Source organism: Homo sapiens, chromosome 12 (assembly GCF_000001405.40).
Source record: "Homo sapiens chromosome 12, GRCh38.p14 Primary Assembly".
Taxonomy (NCBI): domain Eukaryota; kingdom Metazoa; phylum Chordata; class Mammalia; order Primates; family Hominidae; genus Homo; species Homo sapiens.
This window is the reverse complement of record NC_000012.12, coordinates 461,225-479,253: the sequence shown is the minus strand read 5'-3', so window position 1 is coordinate 479,253 and position 18,029 is coordinate 461,225. Positions and strand designations below refer to the sequence as shown.

Below are 18,029 nucleotides of genomic sequence, written 5' to 3'. Positions count from 1 at the left end.
GGCAACATGGTGAGACCCTGCTTCATTTAAATAATAATAAAAAAAAAGCCACAGCCATGAAACAAAATACCTTCACCAAGAGTCAGGTCACTGCAGAGAGACTCTAGGCTGTCTCCTGTGGCCTGCTGAGCTTCTGAACTCTGCTACATCCCCTACCTGGAGCTGAGTCAGAAGCCTTGATTCCTTCAGGACTTAATAGGTTTGTCTGTGCCAGCTTCCTCTTGCCTTAGTTTCCCCTCTCTATAAAGGAGGCTGTAACCTCTGTCTTCCCAGCGAACTCCAGGATTCATCACGCTAGGTGGGTGTCATTTTCCACTTCCATTGTCCATAAGGACACCTTCCCAGATGGGTGGAAAAGGACCAAACTTCCTTCAGGGAGAAGAGCAGTAGCAACCTCTGATCCTGAAGGTAACCACAGCTGTGACTTCCCAGGAGAAAGGTTCTATGTAAAAACAGGGTACTGTTGTTTGCCTGCCCTTCCACCCCTTCCTTCCCAAGATTGGTTCGTGAAAACCCTGCCGGCTGGAGAAAGTGTTCACCACCCTGGAACTTTCCCAACCTTCTTAGAGATACAAAGGATCAGAAAAAGATAGAAAAACCCTTTCTTAAGGATTTTTTTTCCTGTTGAAAAAGCTGCTAGAAGAATCATCACTGAAAATATCACAACCAATTTCTATATCCCAGAAACTGAACTTCCCTATTCTTTTTTGTATTAACAAGTACCTTGGGTAGTTTTTGCCCATTTCTTTTTCTCAAAATGGTAAATGTTGACTTCCAATTTGATAGCTCTTGCTTCAATCAATAAATACTTCCCTAAAACAGACAGGTGGTATTTCCTAAGCAACCTAATTAAAGCTTTACTACTGGAGAATTTTCTTTATGCAAATATTTTTTCAATTTTCATGCATCAAAGCAAAATTGAATTCTCATTCAACAAGCTAAATCAGGCTTGAATATTTTTTTTTTTTTTACCTCCTCTAATTTTTTTTTTTTTTTTTTTTTTAAAGACAGAGTGTCACTCTGCCACCCAGGCTGGAGTGCAGTAGTGCGAACACAGCTCACTGCAGCCTTGATCTCCTGGGCTCATGCGATCCTCCCACCTCAGCCTCCCAAGTAGCTGGGACTACAGGGTTGGGCCACCATGCCTGGCTAACTTTTAAATTTTTTGTAGAGATGGGGTCTTGCCATGTTGCCCAGGCTGCTCTAAAACTCCTAGGTGCAAGCAATATGCCCACAGCAGCCTCTGAAAGTGCCAGGATTGCAGGCATTCTGAACCATTGTGCCCCCTCTATAATCTTCCAAACATGTTCTGAACCTATTTGTTGCTACCTCTCTGCCACTTTTCTTTAATCTGTTACCCATTTCACTTTTTACCCTCACACTGCCAGTAATGGACTTCCATTTGCTAAACAGAACTAGGATTATGAAAATATCTGCCCTCATCAACTTGTATATTTCTACACAGAGAGAAGAATAACGGATAAGACAGCAATGTTTTAAATACATCATGAATCTGTCTACCAAAGGGCTTCATCATTCATGTGTTCCAGGATTCTTCTGATCTAAAATCAACTTCATCTATTCATTATTTCCCATCCCTTCTCGATTCAAGAAAGTGAGAGAGGAAATCATGACTCCATTTGCCTTTTATTTAAGAAGCTGTACACTGGAATGGGTTCCGTTTCTCAGGACGGGAGTGTGCAACAAAGGAACCTGTTGGATGAAGAATGTCGAGCCTTGGCCTTTCTCGTGCAATGTGAAAATTCAATTCAACATCAACAATAACTTCTTTGCAGGTTACTCTCCAATATCAATGTCAATGCAGGGTGTCAGTGCATGGATCACCCCTAAAGGCAGCTGAGTTGGGAACATGCATGATCCACCCCCAACTGAGTGGCAATAACTTCAGCTAGTTCACTGGTAAGAAAAAAATAGATCAATAGACTTGAGGTTGGTCTATATGCAGGCACAATATACTACCAGATTGTTAGGGCAGTTAGAAAAAGAAAGGATCTTCCCTGACCTCGTGAAACTCAGATGTTAAAAGGAGGCATCCTCAGCAAACAAAAAGGGAATGAGCGAAGGCAGAGGGTGAGTGGCATGGTGTGTTGTAAACAATAGTCTAGGCACCAGGAGTCCTATAAACTGCTATATGGGCAGGTTGATTAAAGCTCTCCAGGCTTTCAATTCTTCACTGGTAAAATCAGGAGGCTGGGTAAATAGATAACCTTTTTAAGGGGCAGCTCAAGTCAATTTGTAGTGACTGCCTGGTGAGAAATGTTGAGAAAATTCTGAGGCTGCAGCTGAGCTCGGTAAAAGAATTTCATGTTCTATTGGAGATGTCTGCCATGGGCCTAGAAGAAGAAATGCAGATATAATCCATTTCAGAATTTAAAATCTCTGGACTTCTGCTTTGCTTTTGGTTTTCTTCCATGTCTGCACCCCTGGGGTCCACCCTGTCCTAGGATTCTTTGATATGTGAAAGTCAGCATGCTAAAACCAATCAAAACAGGGACAGAGGGTATTGAAAAGCTGATTAAGTTATAATAAACAATGGCGCCTAACATCTACTGCATGTATCTTCAAATCAACATTCAATTCTGGGCACATACTAGGCGCTCAGATAAGCATTTATTTATTTATGAGGCAGGGCCTTGCTCTGTCACCCAGGCTGGGGTGCAGTGGCGTGATCACAGCTCACTACAGCCTCCAACTCCTATGCTCAAGCGATCCACCTGCCTCAGCCTCCCAAGTATTAATAACTAGCATTACAGGTGCACACCACCATGCCCAGCTAATTTTTCTTTATTTTATTTTATTGTTTGGTAGAGATGGGGGTCTTGCTATGTTGCCCAGGCTGGTCTTAAACTTCCGGCCTCAAGGGATTCTCTTACCTCAGCCTCTAACCTCTAAAAGCACTGCGATTACAGATGTGAGCCACTGTGTCCAGCCATCAGCTAACATTTATCAAACACTATGTATTAGAAACTGTTCTAAGTACTTTATCTGTATTATTTCACTTAATTGTCACAACAAAAACACAATGAGACAGGTACCATTAATAGTCCCATTTTACAGAGAAGAAACTGGGACATATTGAGGCTCAATAATATGCTCACTGAGGCGCAGCTGACTAAGGACAAGAGCCGGGGATCAAAGTCACGTAGTCTGACTTCAAAGCTTCTCACCACTATGCCATGGTAAAGGAAGGAAGAAATGGAGGACCAAAGACAGCAGCAGATGGCCTGGAGGGCACAACAGCAATGCCAGAAGTTAAGGCAGCAAGGATGGCCATGTCCATACGGAGGAAACACGGGCACAGCGAAGCCTGCGCCGACCCGATTCTAAGGGAACTGCCTGCCTCTTCCAAGCATTCCATCAATGCTGTGGGGAGAGTGAAGCAAACTGTCCTAACCAGATACTCTGGAGCCATCTTTGGCTTCTCTAGCAACCTAGCTGGGACACGCAAGACCAACCCAGATGAAGTAGGAATGAAAGAAAGTCAGTGATCAATTGTAAGTTTCAGAAAACTTAGGTGCAACACAAGTTCCAGAAAGAACGAAGTCAGCTGGTTCTAAAATAATTGAGGAAGGCTTCAGGGAAGAGATGAGAGAGAAGGATAAGCAGAGTTTTGAAAGACAAGCAGAGGGATGTCATGAGACTGGAAAACAGCAGGCACAGGGCGAAGAGGAGGCGCGGCAGAGCCCAAGGGAAGACCAAGCCCAGGGAGGAGACCCCACCTCCGGTTCTGCCGGGACAGGAAGTGAGGGTGAAGCTACTGCTCTCTGGATGGCTGCTTCCAGATGGATGATTTAAACACTCTTCTGCATCTCCCAGCAGCAGGGTTCTTCCTGGCTCTCTTTCTCCCACCTAACATCTGTCCCCTGCAACTAGAGCAAGGAGATTTAATAAGGAGAATATTCCCAAGTCATCAGACTCCAAGAACATACCAGGCACTGGGTAAAGCTTCAGGCAGAGTTCTTAACTAGGGATCCATGTATAGGGGTCAGGGGACTGTGTACCTCCTCCCAAAATAGTATGCAAAATATACAGGAGACGAGCAAACTTCTGGGGAAAGTGTAACCGTTTCTTCACCAGATTCCTTTTTTCTTTTCTCTCTTCTCTTCTTTTCTTTCTTTTTAGATAGGATCTCACTCTGTCACCCAGGCTGGAGTACAGCGGTGAGATCATAGCTCATTGCAGCCTCAAACTCCTGGGCTCAAGTGATCCTCCCACCTTAGCCTCCTGAGTAGTTGGGACCACAGGCATGCACCACCACACTTGGCTTTTTTTTTTTTTTTTTTTTGAGACAAGGTCTCCCTCTGTCACCCAGGCTGGAGTGCAGTGGTCAATCTTGGCTCACTGCAACCTCTGCCTCCCAGGCTCAAGTGATCTTGAGCCTCCCGAGTAGCTGGGACTATAGTAGTGCCACCACTTCCAGCTAATTCTTATATTTTTTGTAGACAGGGTTTCACGATGTTGCCCAAGCTGATCTTGAACTCCTGGACTCAAGTGATCCACCCATCTCAGCCTCCCAAAATGCTGAGATTACAGGTGTGTGCCACCATGCTTGGCCTGGGCTAATTTTTAAATTTTATGTAGAGACAGGGTCTCGCTATGTTGCCCATGCTGGTCTCAAACTCCTGGGCTCAAGCCATCCTCCTACCTTAGTCTCCCAAAGTGCTGGATTGCAGGCATGAGCCACCGTGCCTGGCCTCTTCATCAGATTCTTACGGATGTATGTGATCCACAAAAGGTTAAAAATCTCTCCACAAAGAGGGGGAAATGCCCAGGTCCAGTATCTAGAAATTTACAATCTCATGGGGGAAGACAAACAGACAAAAATAACTCTGATCCAATGCTAAGGTTGATAAGTGTACTAATGGACGTGCGGAAAAAGTGTTGTGAGGGAGGGGACGGGGTTAGTTCCAGTCTGGCTTTCAATAGGACATCCCCCATCCCCCCATACTGGTTTTGGGATCTGGGTTTGTGATGAAGAAGAAAGCCACGATCATTTTCTGCCCAGCCCAGACAGTCTTTAGCCAGTACCTCTTTCTCAAGCACTCCTGGTAGAAAACTCCAAGTCTGAGGCTGACTCTATTCCTGCCAGTGAGGTGAAGGAGGACGTTGTTTTCAGGACAATGGATTAGGAAGGAGACGCTTATCCTGAAAACCAGCAATGACTCTGTTCTACATTTTTTTCCTCTTCTACCCAGCTCCCATTCTCCAAATTCCTGAGGTCTTTGTAATCCTGACACCCTTTTGGTGTCATGTCCTCCAGCCCTGAGTTATCTGTCTTAGGACTGTCACTTCTGGGAGAGCCCCCTCATCCTCCAAGCTAGTCCCTTTGTGCGATTATTGCTTCTTTTTCTTCCCAAATAGCATCACCATCTCAAATCCCGATCTGTTTGTTTACGCGATTATCCTCTGTCTCTTCCTCACCAGAAATGTATGCTCTGTGATGGCAAACTCTTCCAACTTCTTGTTCCCCATGATCTCCCTAACACCCAGAGCATAGCCTGGCATATAACAAGTGCTCAGTAAACACCTGCTGAATGAATGTCTGCCTCCCCACCCTTTGCATTCTTCTGTAGGACCACCATGGTACTCAAGCTCCAGAGAGGAAAGTACAAGGACAAATGAAGGCATTTTTTTCTCAGGAGACCATTTCTGAGATGCTGGATGCACAAGACAACCCTTAATTAAATGATTGTGGCAGAGTACAGCCAGAGACCCACGTATGAAACCCACAACTTTGGTATTCCATCACCTTCTCCATCAACCCTACTGCCAAACTCTGTCACTTCCTGCCTTGACATGTCTCAGCTTTCATCTGCCACTCCTTCCGGCTAGGCGCTCACCACCCACCCTCTCGGTCACTGCAGTAACCACCTCACTACATCCTAGCCATCCTGCAAACTTCCAACAGCCTAATCAACCTACAGTCACAAGTTCCTGGGATGTAGAAGGGGTTGGTAAGTATTTAAAGGCAGTGGGGTGGCTCACGCCTGTAATCTCAGCACTTTGGGAGGCTGAGGAAAGAGGATTGCTTGAGCCCAGGTGTTCAAGACCAGTCTGGACAACATACTGAGGCCCATCTTTACAAAAAGTTTAAAAATTAGCTAGGCATGGTGGTGTATGCCTGTGGTCTTAGCTACTAGGGAGGCCAAGGCAGGAGGATTGCTTAAGCTGAAGAAGTCGAGGCTGCAGTGAACCACTAGACTCCAGCCTGGGTGAAAAAGCAAGATTCTGTATCCAAAAAAAAAAAAAAAAAAAAGTGTTTGAACAATTAAAGTACAAATCAGTGGATGAAAAAAAGAAAACACTCCCTCCATATCAAACTCCTGCTTTAAACAATTTATGTTGGCTAGACACAGTCACAGTGGCTTGTGCCTGTAATCCCAGCAGTTTTGGAGATAGACGCAAAAATATTGCTTGAGTCCAAGAGTTTGAACCAGCCTAGGCAACATAGTGAGACTCTGTCTCTACAAAGAAAATTTTAAAATTAGCAGGCATAGGTCGGGCGCGGTGGCTCACGCCTGTAATCCCAGCACTTTGCGAGGCCAAGGCCAGCGGATCATGAGGTCAGGAGATCGAGACCATCCTGGCTAACACTGTGAGACCCCGCCTCTACTAAAAATACAAAAAATTAGCCAGGCGTGGTGGCGGGCACCTGTAGTTCCAGCTACTCGGGAGGCTGAGGCAGGAGAATGGCGTGAACCCGGGAGGCGGAGCTTGCAGTGAGCCAAGATGCACCAGCCTGGGCGAAAGAGCGAGACTCCGTCTCAAAAAATAAATAAAATAAAATAAGCAGGCATGGTGGCATGCACCTGCAGTCTTGCCTACTTGGGAGGCTGAGGTGGGGTGATTGTTTGAGTCCAAGAGTTTGAGACTGCAGCGAGCCATGATCATGCCACCAAACTCCAGGCTGGGCAACAGACTGAGACACTGTCTCTAAAAATAAAAAACATCAGTTAATCAATAAAATAAATGTATGTTGCTCCCTACCAAGTCCAAACTCAGCAACCTGGCCCTCAGGAGAGTCCACAATGAGGTTGCAACTACCATTTCATCTTCATCTCCTTCAAGCCTCTGCACTACAGAACTTGTGTTCCCTACAAAAGTTTGTATTCCCCAGACTTTCCACTTAGCTTATGCTATATTCCTCAAATGGAAATATTCACCTTTGCTTAGACACACACACCCGAATAACAACAGCCTGCTGTCGCTGGAGGAGGTATTAGAAATTCAAGCCAGAGGACTTCCTTTTGGAAAATACCCACAGCAAAATATTAAAAATGCTAGATGAAGTATGACAAACTGCTGTTTTATTTACATAGTAAAGCCCTCCACAAGGTAAGAGAATCTCCAGCAGCCAAATTTGAAGATGTAAAAATCAGAGCAGTAAGCAGATGCTAACATATTGGCAGCCTCTTGCAACCAACAATTTTAGATAATTAAATAAATTTGTTTTAAATTTTTTAAATGCAGAAGAATGATGTAGTTTATTTATATTTATTTATTTATTTATTTTTTATTATTATTTTGAGACAGAGTCTTGCTCTGTTGCCCAGGCAGTAGTGCAATGGCATAATCTTGGCTCACTGCAACCTCTGCCTCCCAGGTTCAAGCAATTCTCCTGCCTCAGCCTCCCAAGTAGCTGAGATTACAGGCATGTAATCTCATGCCCAGCTAATTTTTGTATTTTTAGTAGAGACGGGGTTTCACCATGTTGGCCAGGCTGGTCTTGAACTCATGACCTCAGGTGATCCACCCACCTCGGCCTCCCAAAGTGCCAGGATTTCAGGCATGAGCCACCGTGCCCAGCCTATTTATTTATTTATTTATTTATTTATTTATTTATTTATTGAGACAGAGTCTCACTCTGTCACCCACGTTGGAGTGCAGTGGCACAAAATCAGCTCCCTGAAACCTCCGCCTCCTGGGTTCAAGCGATTCTCCAGCCTCAGCCTCCCGAGTAGCTTGGATTACAGGCATGTGCCACCACGTCCAGCTAATTTTTGTATTTTTAGTAGACAGGGTTTTGCCATGTTGGCCTGGCTGATCTCAAACTCCTGACCTCGAACTCTGCCTGCCTCAGCCTCCCAAAGTGCTGTGATTACAGGTGTGAGCCACCGCGCCCAGCCACAATGTAGTGTTTAAAAACCCAACAAATTTGAAATAGAACAAAATAAAACTTACAGATATGAAAAATACAGTCACTACACTGGGCACGGTGGCTCACGCCTGTAATCCCAGCACTTTGGGAGGCTGAGGCGGGCGCATCACCTGAGGTCAGGAGTTCGAGACCAGCCTGACCAACATGGCGAAACCTAAAAATACAAAAATTAGCTGGGCATGGTGACACATGCCTGTAATCCCAGCTACTCGGGAGATTGAGGCAGGAGAATGTCTTGAACCTGGGGGACGTAGGTTAGAGTGAGCCGAGATCGTGCCACTGCACTTCAGCCTGGGTGACAGAGCGAGACTCCATCTCAAAACAAAACAAAACAAAACAGTCACTAAAATGAAAAAATGGGGTAGCGGTCTCTCCCTCCATTTCGTTCCCTCATTTCTCTACCCATTTTCTGTGCCTGTGCAACGTCCCCTGCCTTCTGCTATCGGAAGTCATTCACCTGGGACGTGCTGCCCATCTCCACTGCCCTTTCCCAGGCCCTCTACTCAGCTGAAATGGGAAGAAAGGAGACCCGGGACAGAGAGTACGTATTGCGCTGTGTGCCTGGTCCATGAGGGAATCCTCCACGTCCTCATCCTCCTGCCCACCTTTGCTAAGAGGTGCTGGTGAGCAGTCGGGACCAGCTGGCTGGTGAGGGAGGTGTGCGTGAGCACACACTGCACACATTCGTTTGAACCTGGGCTTGGCAGGCAGGGTGGAAAGCAGTGGATCAGAGGATTTGTAAGAAGATCTCAGCAGGGAGGCCTTTAATCTTTTAGGCAACTGCTTGTACGGAGACCATGTTGTCAGAGATGACCTTGGAGGCGAAAGCAGTCAGAACTATTGGGAGAGCTGCCACCTCTCGGTTCAGGCGACTGAGCCTTGAAAGACCAGGGCCAGATGTCAAAGATATTCCCTTCCGACTGTCCCTTTCACCCCTTAGTGACGTGCGCAACTTCCAAATCTACTCCTGCAAGGAAGCATCTCACTCCAAAGATTATGGAACTGAAGCCCTCAAAAGGACAGGAAATTAGTTACAGGTAAACTGATTTCCTGTAGACAGGAAACCAGGCAAATTAGTTACAAAGCTAGGATGTACACTGGCCATGCACGGTGTACATTAACTGGCCATGCGCGGTGGCTCATGCCTGTAATCTCAGCACTTTGGAAGGCTGAGGTGGGAGGATCCCTTGAGCCTAAGAGTTCAGGACCAGCCTGAGCAACATAGTGAGACCCCATCTCTAAAAACAAAATTTTTTAAAAATAAATAAATAATGAGATAACTGCCAGGTGTTCCTGCCTTTTAGTCCCAGAAATCCCAGTGTGTACACAGGGGTATGCAGCAGAGTGAGAGGCTATCGCTTCCCAGTTGCTGTGCTTCTGTGTCCTGGTACAGCCCCCCAGACAGCTCTCGTTCTCCGCAAAATCCTTGACTCCTAACCTGGCCCCCACCCCTAATATAAATCTTTGCCTGGGATGGAAAGATGCAGGCATTGCTGAACATCATGGAGGAAAAAAGTGATTGAAGAATGTGTATTTGGTGGCAAGTGCTGGATATGGATGGCACAGTAATGCTGGGGTACTGGACACAGCTGTGTCATGGGCTGAGAAGTTTAAGAAGCACTGGAAAAAGGGCCAGTTGAGGAATGTGTCTATTTGTCCCCTCCTGCCCAGCCATTCTCTAATTCCTATCAGACTGAGAGGGAGGAGATGGGAACCAATATTCATTGAGATCCTAATATGTGCTCGGCTCACTAAACCTCATTTAGTCATAAGGAAAGTTCTACGGGAACAGCATTATAGCTCCACTACCCAGACAAGGCTCCCGAGACTTACAAAGGAATAAGTACCTTCCTACAAGGTCTCACGATTGGTGAGTCATGGCGCTTGAACTGGAACCTTGCCCTGCCTTCAGACTCCACAGTTTTTCCAGGAATTATCAATGCTTTTCAGTCCACTCAGAGTCTGCCACAAAAAGTAAATGCTCCATAAACATTCTGCTTTAAGTTTAGAATGAATCACTTCTGCAGCCACTCAAGGTTTACAAAATAAATAAAAACTGCAGAATACACAACGTTCAATTTCCTGAGCATTTATACATAAAGTCTTTGGTCGGCCTGGAATGTGGTTTCTCTATTTCCACTCCCACCTCTCTCTATTCTCGTCCATTTGTGGGCCCTCTTCCTGGGTCGTGTGGCCACAAAGCAGAATGTGAGCTGTGCAGAGTGAGACACACACATAGCCTCTGCTAGGCACCACGAGAACACAATTTCAAAGAAGAAATGGGTGGAAGAGACACATGAAGTCTATTCCCTGGGCAGGGATTCTCAGCTGCTAATACAGGGGCTAGGTCTCTAAATTAGTTTGTGACTTTATGCATCCAAAAGCCACAGGCTGGCAGCAGCCATAGATCTTCATGTTGAGGTGTCCTTGCTGGTGTGAGGAGCTGGTGTGAGACCTTTGCAGGGATGGGTGCCCACATGACACACCAGGTTTCTGGCCTTCCTGGCCAGTCTCTCGGCTGTTCTCTCGGTAGTGTCAAGGATGCCTCCAATTTTATTGAATTTGCCTTGTATGGTGTCACTGTTTTCAACAAAAGTGGCTCAGTCCCCAATATCTGTCAGTAAATTCTAAGCTTTTGGTAGTCTTCTTATATGGAAAGACGTAATAATTTATTTGTGGATGTGATTCAACTTTTCAGTACCTAAATAAAGACCCCCAAAAAGGTCAGGGCAATACTTTTTTGGCTTTTTAAGTTTTTAAATCCAGACTTTTTGTCTAAGGCATCCTGGAATCCAACATCTGCTTATCACTGCTTATTACACTTCATTTTTTCAACAATGTCTAGGTCAGAGTGGTGACATTTTAGGTGATTGTTCATTTCTTCTTCATATTTGTATGTATACCATAGCACTTTTGTTGATTTATTTTATGCCTTGATTTGGTCCAGGAAAAACTAAAGTAGTTTACAATGACCATATAAGATAAGATGACATAAACTGGAAGTAGTTAGTTGTGGGAGTGGGGAGATAAAATAAAGGTACAGTCATAAAATTAGTAGAAAAATACAGATCATAAAATCCTTTACACTTTTCTCCAGGTGAAGAAAAAACTGAACCCTAAAGCTTCCTAGTAACCAACACGACGAGAGAAATCTGAGTGATTATGCAACTTACGTGACCAATAGAAATTAAAACAAACCGCTCAAGAGAAGCACAGCTGTTTCTAAGACCAAGACCAGAAGAAACATGTTTAGAGCGTTCTCATACAGGAATGAGCAACAGTTCTCAACTCCACCCTGGCAGGGTGCTACTGGAGAATTCCAGAGGCTACTATGTATCCTGCAGTCTTGAGGCCCCTGGTCTTCCTTGGCCTTAGGTTATTTTGTTAGTGATGCTGTGGTGCCTAAAGGCAAAAAAGTGCTTTCGCAGGGTTAATGTGGTCCAGATACACAGCTGTTGTCTAGTATAATAAGCATGGATTATTTTTATCCCTATTTTATTTTGTTTATTTATTTATTTAAGACACAGTCTTGCTGTCACCCAGGCTGGAGTGCAGTGGCGCCATCTTGGCTCACTGCAGCCTCTGCTTCCCAGGTTCAAGCGACTCTTGTGCCTCAGCCTCCCGAGTAGCTGGGACTACAGGCACACACCACCACACCCAGCTACTTTTTGTAGTTGTAGTAGAGATGGGCTTTCATCATGTTGGCCGGGCTGGTCTCGAACTCCTGACCTCAAGTGATCTGCCCACCTTGGCCTCCCAAAGTGCTGGGATTACAGGTGTGAGCCACCACACCTGGCTGCATTATTTTTATCATCATAAAGAATATCATTTTAAAATGAGGCCGAGCACAGTGGCTCACTCCTGTCACTGAGCCCAGGAGTTCAAGGCTGCATAAGCTAAGATCACACCACTGCACTCTGGCTTGAGAGACAGAGTAAGACTCAGTCTCAAAAAATACTTTCATTAATTTAATTTAAAAAATTGCTAATAAAAAAAGAACCACAATCTGTATTATTCCATTTATATAAAATATTAAAATATGCTAAACTAATCTATGCTGATGGTAGTGATTCATAGCACCGCCCCCACCGGGGTACTGGGGTACTGGTAATACTCTGTGTCTTCATCGTGGTGCTCCCAACACAGGTATTTTCAGTTTGTGAAAACTGCTCATCAAGCTTTCCGTACATATACTTGAAAAAAAAGAGGAACCACAGGGACGATTTGCATGTTTATTTTCTTAAAAGTTGGTCAGTATCAGGCCTTTTGTAGTTATGAAATAAAGAACATATTGAACATAAAAATAAATTATATACTAAAATATTACAAGAATACAAAGAATATTCATTTTTGCTCATCCAATGGATACTTCTAAATTCAAAGTAGCACTTGTTAACTTGAGTCTGCAAAAATTTAAAGATCTGTCACACTTTGCTCAGAATATACAACACATGCAGCCCAGTGCCCTTTAGAGCCACTATCCGACTATTCTCACCTCTTCCACTCGCATTTTTGTATAGTGGTTAACATATAAATCTATTAATTATGTGAATCACAAGGTCAAAGAATTGTCTGAAAACTCCAAATGTCTGGTTGGCCTAGTTGAGACCACATAATCTTTACATATAACGAAAAGTGCTTGTGGAAAATAAAAGCGTAGTTTTTGAGACTGGTGGAACGCTGCAGAGGAGAACTAGACAGCGAGCGGCCAACTCCAAGAACAGCCTCTAGGACCCCTTCCAAAGCAAACTCTGCTATGTCGGCTGCTCTGCTCTGCTCCACAAAGCTCAGCACTAGAGGGCAAGCCCAGGCTCCATGGCCTGGAAAATTACTGCAGCGTACTTACCAGCCTCTCCAGAAGCCAGCACGGAAGCACTTTCAGAAGACCTTGTGCTACAAAGCAGTTATAACCATGCACAGCGTCTGAACAACTCCCAGGACAGGGAGTGGCAGGCAGCCCCAGCACCATCAAGCAGGGGAATGGGACCTCAACTCCCAGGACAGGGAGTGGCAGGCAACCCCAGCACCATCAAGCAGGGGAATGGGACCTCAACTCCCAGGACAGGGAGTGGCAGGAAACCCCATCACCATCAAGCAGGGGAATGGGACCTCAACTCCCAGAACAGGGAGTGTGGCAGGCAGCCCCAGGACCATCAAGCAGGGGAATGGGACCTCAACCCCCAGGACAGGGAGTGGCAGGCAGCCCCAGCACCATCAAGCAGGGGAATGGGACCTCAACTCCCAGGACAGGGAGTGGCAGGCAACCCCAGCACCATCAAGCAGGGGAATGGGACCTCAACTCCCAGGACAGGGAGTGGCAGGCAGCCCCAGCACCATCAAGCAGGGGAATGGGACCTCAACTTGAGGGTCCCTGGGTAGTAGGCAGGGTAAAGATGGCAGATGTGTTGCTGAGGTTCGCCGGCCACATCAGCACAGGGACTGAGAGACCAGGGAAAGGAGAGACTCTAAATATGGGTAAGGTCACCTATTGTCAAAAACTGCATTCCTCGTATAGGCAATGCCCAAAGAAAATACGCTTATGATTAAAAAAAAAAAAACCATTGATGTCTTATCGCTTATCTTCTGTATTTGTATTCAAAGGCTATTGTTGTGTATATGTATTATGGTACAGGGAACAAGAATTCCTAGGTTCTATTCTTGGATCAGTCCCTGATAAACACAGTATCTGCCAGTGGAAAATATCAGGTGCTTGGAAATTCAGAGCTGACACATTCATAACGAGAAGGTACTTATCTGAGCGCCTAGTATGTGCCCAGAATTGAAAGTTGATTAGAAGACACACATAGTAGCCTGGTGACTGGAATATCAGCATAAAGAGCGATAAACCGGACACGTGAAAAGGAGCTACACGAGAGGTAAACCACGTGAAAAGGAGGTTCCCTGGGACAGAGAGGCACACACCCACCAGAGCTGCATGAGACACAGTCCCTGCCCACAGGAGCACACGAGGCGGTTGTGCTTGCTGCTTCACTGGGTTTCAACTCCATGCCACACTATCCCTCCTCTGCCCACACATCTGTCTCATTTGCTTCTCCCTCTCTCCCTGCCTGCATCTCAGATTACTGCTGTGCCCTGCATTACCTCTCTCACTGGAGGGTTTGTATCCTTTCCAAATCAGAACGGCTGTGGTGGCCAGAGCTGCAGTCACTGCCTCACACCGCGGGTGTGCCTCCCTCAGCCCACTCGAGTCAGCCAGAAGTCACAAAGGCCAACCAGAGAGATGTGGTACAGATAGAGGTAAGGCAGCGAAAGCCAACGGCTTCCTGAGCTTCAGAATACTTTGGGATCCAGCAAGTAATCCTGGCACTTAAATGGGAGATCTAAAAGGAGCCAGCACATGCCATCCTTCTGTCTTGGATTTGCGCCCAAATGTCATCCCTTGGCTCTGAGATATTTCATCTCTAGAAACCATTTTTTTTTTTTAAGTAGAGTCTCGCTCTGTCACTCAGGCTGGAGTACAGTGGTGCAATCTCAGCTCACTGCAACCTCTGCCTCCTGAGTTAAGCAATTCTCCTGCCTCAGCCTCCCCAGTATCTGGGATTACAGGTGTGCGCCACCATGCCTGGGTATTTTTTTAATCTTTTTTAGTAGAGATGGGGTTTTGCCATGTTGGCCAGGCTGGTCTCGAACTCCTGACCTCAAATGATCTGCCCGCCTCGGCCTCCCAAAGTGCTGGGATTACAGGTGTGAGCCACCACCCCCGGCCTCTAGTCCAGAACTCTGCCTTCAGATAGAATCTTTGCTGATCCAATATGAACAAATGGGTATATAACTTGTGAAAACCTGCCTAATTGGAGAATCTTTAACTTCCAATAACAATTTGTTCCCAGGGCTGCTTTTCAGCCAGTACACACCAGGATAGCCGTACCACTTATTAAAACACTGAAATCCTTAAGCATGTGTTAGTACAGTGGCTGCCCCAGGCCCTCTGAGTGTCCCACTGCCACCCGGACCCCTCCCCAGGACAGCTTCACGACCCAGCAGCTAAAGAGTTAATGTTGGGCTCAACAAGGGGACTCGTCAGGACCCTGTTCCAGAACCACCATGCCACACCAAAAGTATTGTTACCCTTACCCGTCCCATTCTACAATGCTGCCGTATTCTAAAACTTTCAACTGCTTTCTGCTAGCTACTGAATAAATGCCACTCTTTAAGGTCTTTATTCAGCCTTCCACATACAGCATCATCCTCTATTCTTCTTATACCCTCTGTTTCACCAAACTCAGCTGCTCAGTATTCTCAAACATAAACTTTCCCCGACTCTTGGTCTTTGTTGACGTAACTCTTTCTGTCTCGAATAGCCTTTCTGTATCCACCAAAATCTTACCAACTCTTCAAAACGTCCCAAAATGTCACCATTTCCATGAAATATTAGTTGGGAGAGCTGTGCCCCCATTTCAAGAGGTGTCACAGAAACATATGCGTCCTATGTTTGCAAAACTTAATGACTGCTTTATATTACAACCATTTTGATATAGGCACCTTAGCTTTCCTCCTAAATGAAGCTGTAGATGCTAGAAACCACATCCTGGTCATCACACCTACACGGCCTGGCACAATGCCTGGCTCGAGGTATGCGCTAAGTAAATATTTGTGTAAATGAATGCGTGAACAGTCCTAATTCTTTTGTCAATTTTCTATTTGTTAAGGATTTTGGTTGTTTTTCTCTGAAGCCACTCCAGTTGTGGTTGTATCTCCTTCTGCATATGGAACCAAATTGCACATCATCCACATCTTAAACTACTGGGTTATTTCACGAAGATAAAGAAGGAAATATGCTCCCCTGTCATTACTGGTAACCCTGGAGTTTGTGACTGCCATCTCTCCATACTCTTCTTCCAGCACCAGATCCAACACAGGGACAGGCAAATGAAAGGTTCCTGGTAATGGGGGCTGGCCTTCCAGATGACAGGGAGCTGGTGGGTGGTGGAGTGAGTTGGCAGGGATTGCTAGAGAGGGGAGGCAGGGTGGCTTGCTGGAAAGCAGAGCCAACAAGCTGGTTCTGGTTGCTGTGGTTGAGGCCAGAGGTACAGGCCTGGGAGGTGCAGTTTTACTACCCTGGTTCCTGTTGGTATCCAAGAGTGTGGAGGTGGGAATGCTAGCAACCCCCTTCCCACCTCTCCTTTCCTAATGCCTCCTCCCTGGCTCTCCCTCCAGAGGAATAGCTCTGAGCTGAGAATGAAACCTATAGGAAAAGAGGGAACTTTGATGCAAGATGTCTGGGCTTCTTAACAACAAAAAAGGATGGGAGACAAGGAGGCAGAAACCACAGCTCCAGTCTAAATCTTATTCCACAGGGAAATCGAGAGTAGAATATAACGGGACAGCGCAGGACAAAAAGACACCCTGCACAATAGATGAATTTCAGGGTTCTAAGAGGAGAGAGGAAACAAGGTGCATCAGTGTGTGAGCTTAGCCTCCTGTTAAAAACCATGAGTAAGGAAACGAAGTCAATTCTGGCATAGAGGCTGGGAAGAGTTTTCTGGATAATTGGTTTGGAAAAGAAAATAAAAAATAAGGAAACCCAGTCAGAGAGTTAAGATTCTTCTGGGAGGGGAACCCAACAGACTCAAGAATTGATGGCTCGGAATGAGGCGGCCCACGGGAGACAGAGGCAGAGGTCGAGGGCCAGAGTGTCAGATTATGACTGTGGCAAACTAGATCCAGGTTTGGGGAGAAAACACACCGGAGGTAAAAGAAAAGTGAGGAGAGGGAGAAAGGGAGGTTACTGATTCCAAGGTCACAAAGCAACTGCCTTTCTCTCTGTTTTTAATTTGTGCACAAGATCCCACTGGCTAAACAAAATGATGGCTACACTGGGAGGAGGTGTCGCCTCCCAGGCCCCCACCCACACACACTCCAAAGGAGCTCATCCATTTGGGCCTGAGTGGCCATGGCGGGGGAGAATAGATTCACTCTCTGTCTTTCAGAAGGAAGAACAAGGCCCAGAGGAGGGAAGAATTCACTATGGGCGGCAGATTTTGGTCATCAGAGGAAGGGGCTCTGCTGCTTGGAGTCGTGGCCCCGGGGTGGAAGCTATGGCTTCCTGGTGATGTGCTGAGCTCTCTGGCCCTGGAAACGCTTGCGTGCAGATCAGTCTTCGTATCCAGACTGAAAGACACCTTGGAGATCATTTGGACCAAAGGCCTCATTTTCACCTGAGAAGCTGTCGTTTTTCCCTTGATTCCCCCGCTAGTTAGTGGCAGAGCCAGTCTCCTCTAACTCACAGCCGGAATGATTTCCATCACCACAGAAAGGTTAGGCCATAAATATACATTTCCAACCTGAACCAGCTCAGCGACTGTCCCTAGTAATTCTCTCTCTTTGGCCACAAGAGAAGGCACAGCACCACACCCAACTCTGGGTAGAGAAGCTGACACGACGACAGGTCAGAGTCAGAGTATCTTCTCAGCTGCTTGCTCAGCCACTCTGTCCGAGTTTCCCCAAAGCGGGAGGAAAGTGAAGGCATGGGAGGCCACGTGCCAGAACTTTGAACCTCGGCTCCCCGGGCTTGCGTTGGGCACCTGGTAGTAACGGGAGTTTCTCCATTTCTTTTCCCAACTATTACAGGATCTTTTACGGCCCCTGTCACTGTCAGTTTTACTTTGTTAGGCCCATCCACAGTACGTTGAAAACCACCTCGCACAGCCATACCTATTGATGTAAAAAGGCAAAGAGACCACGCTCTCCTGTTTTCCTAGGAGGAAACTGAGGCACGGAAATATTAAGTGGCTTTGGCTAAGTTAAAAACAGAAGTAGGAATCTACCTGCTGCCCGGTCCACTGTGCTGTCCATCATCTCCTTAAACTGGGGAGTTTGGTAGATTTGC

At 46.0% G+C, this 18,029-nt stretch overlaps 1 protein-coding gene and 1 long non-coding RNA gene across 2 annotated transcripts in view; both read right to left on the bottom strand.

Moving 5' to 3' along the window:
• Positions 1–18,029, bottom strand: part of B4GALNT3 (beta-1,4-N-acetyl-galactosaminyltransferase 3) — a 103,571-nt gene that overhangs the window by 84,256 nt on the left and 1,286 nt on the right. The gene's annotated exons all lie outside the window — the stretch shown is intronic.
• On the bottom strand, positions 1,629–7,515 carry LOC124902853 (uncharacterized). Its single transcript, XR_007063151.1, has 2 exons — positions 3,741–7,515; positions 1,629–1,917 (listed from the first exon to the last, which is right to left on the bottom strand). It is a non-coding gene; the product is annotated as an uncharacterized LOC124902853 (long non-coding RNA).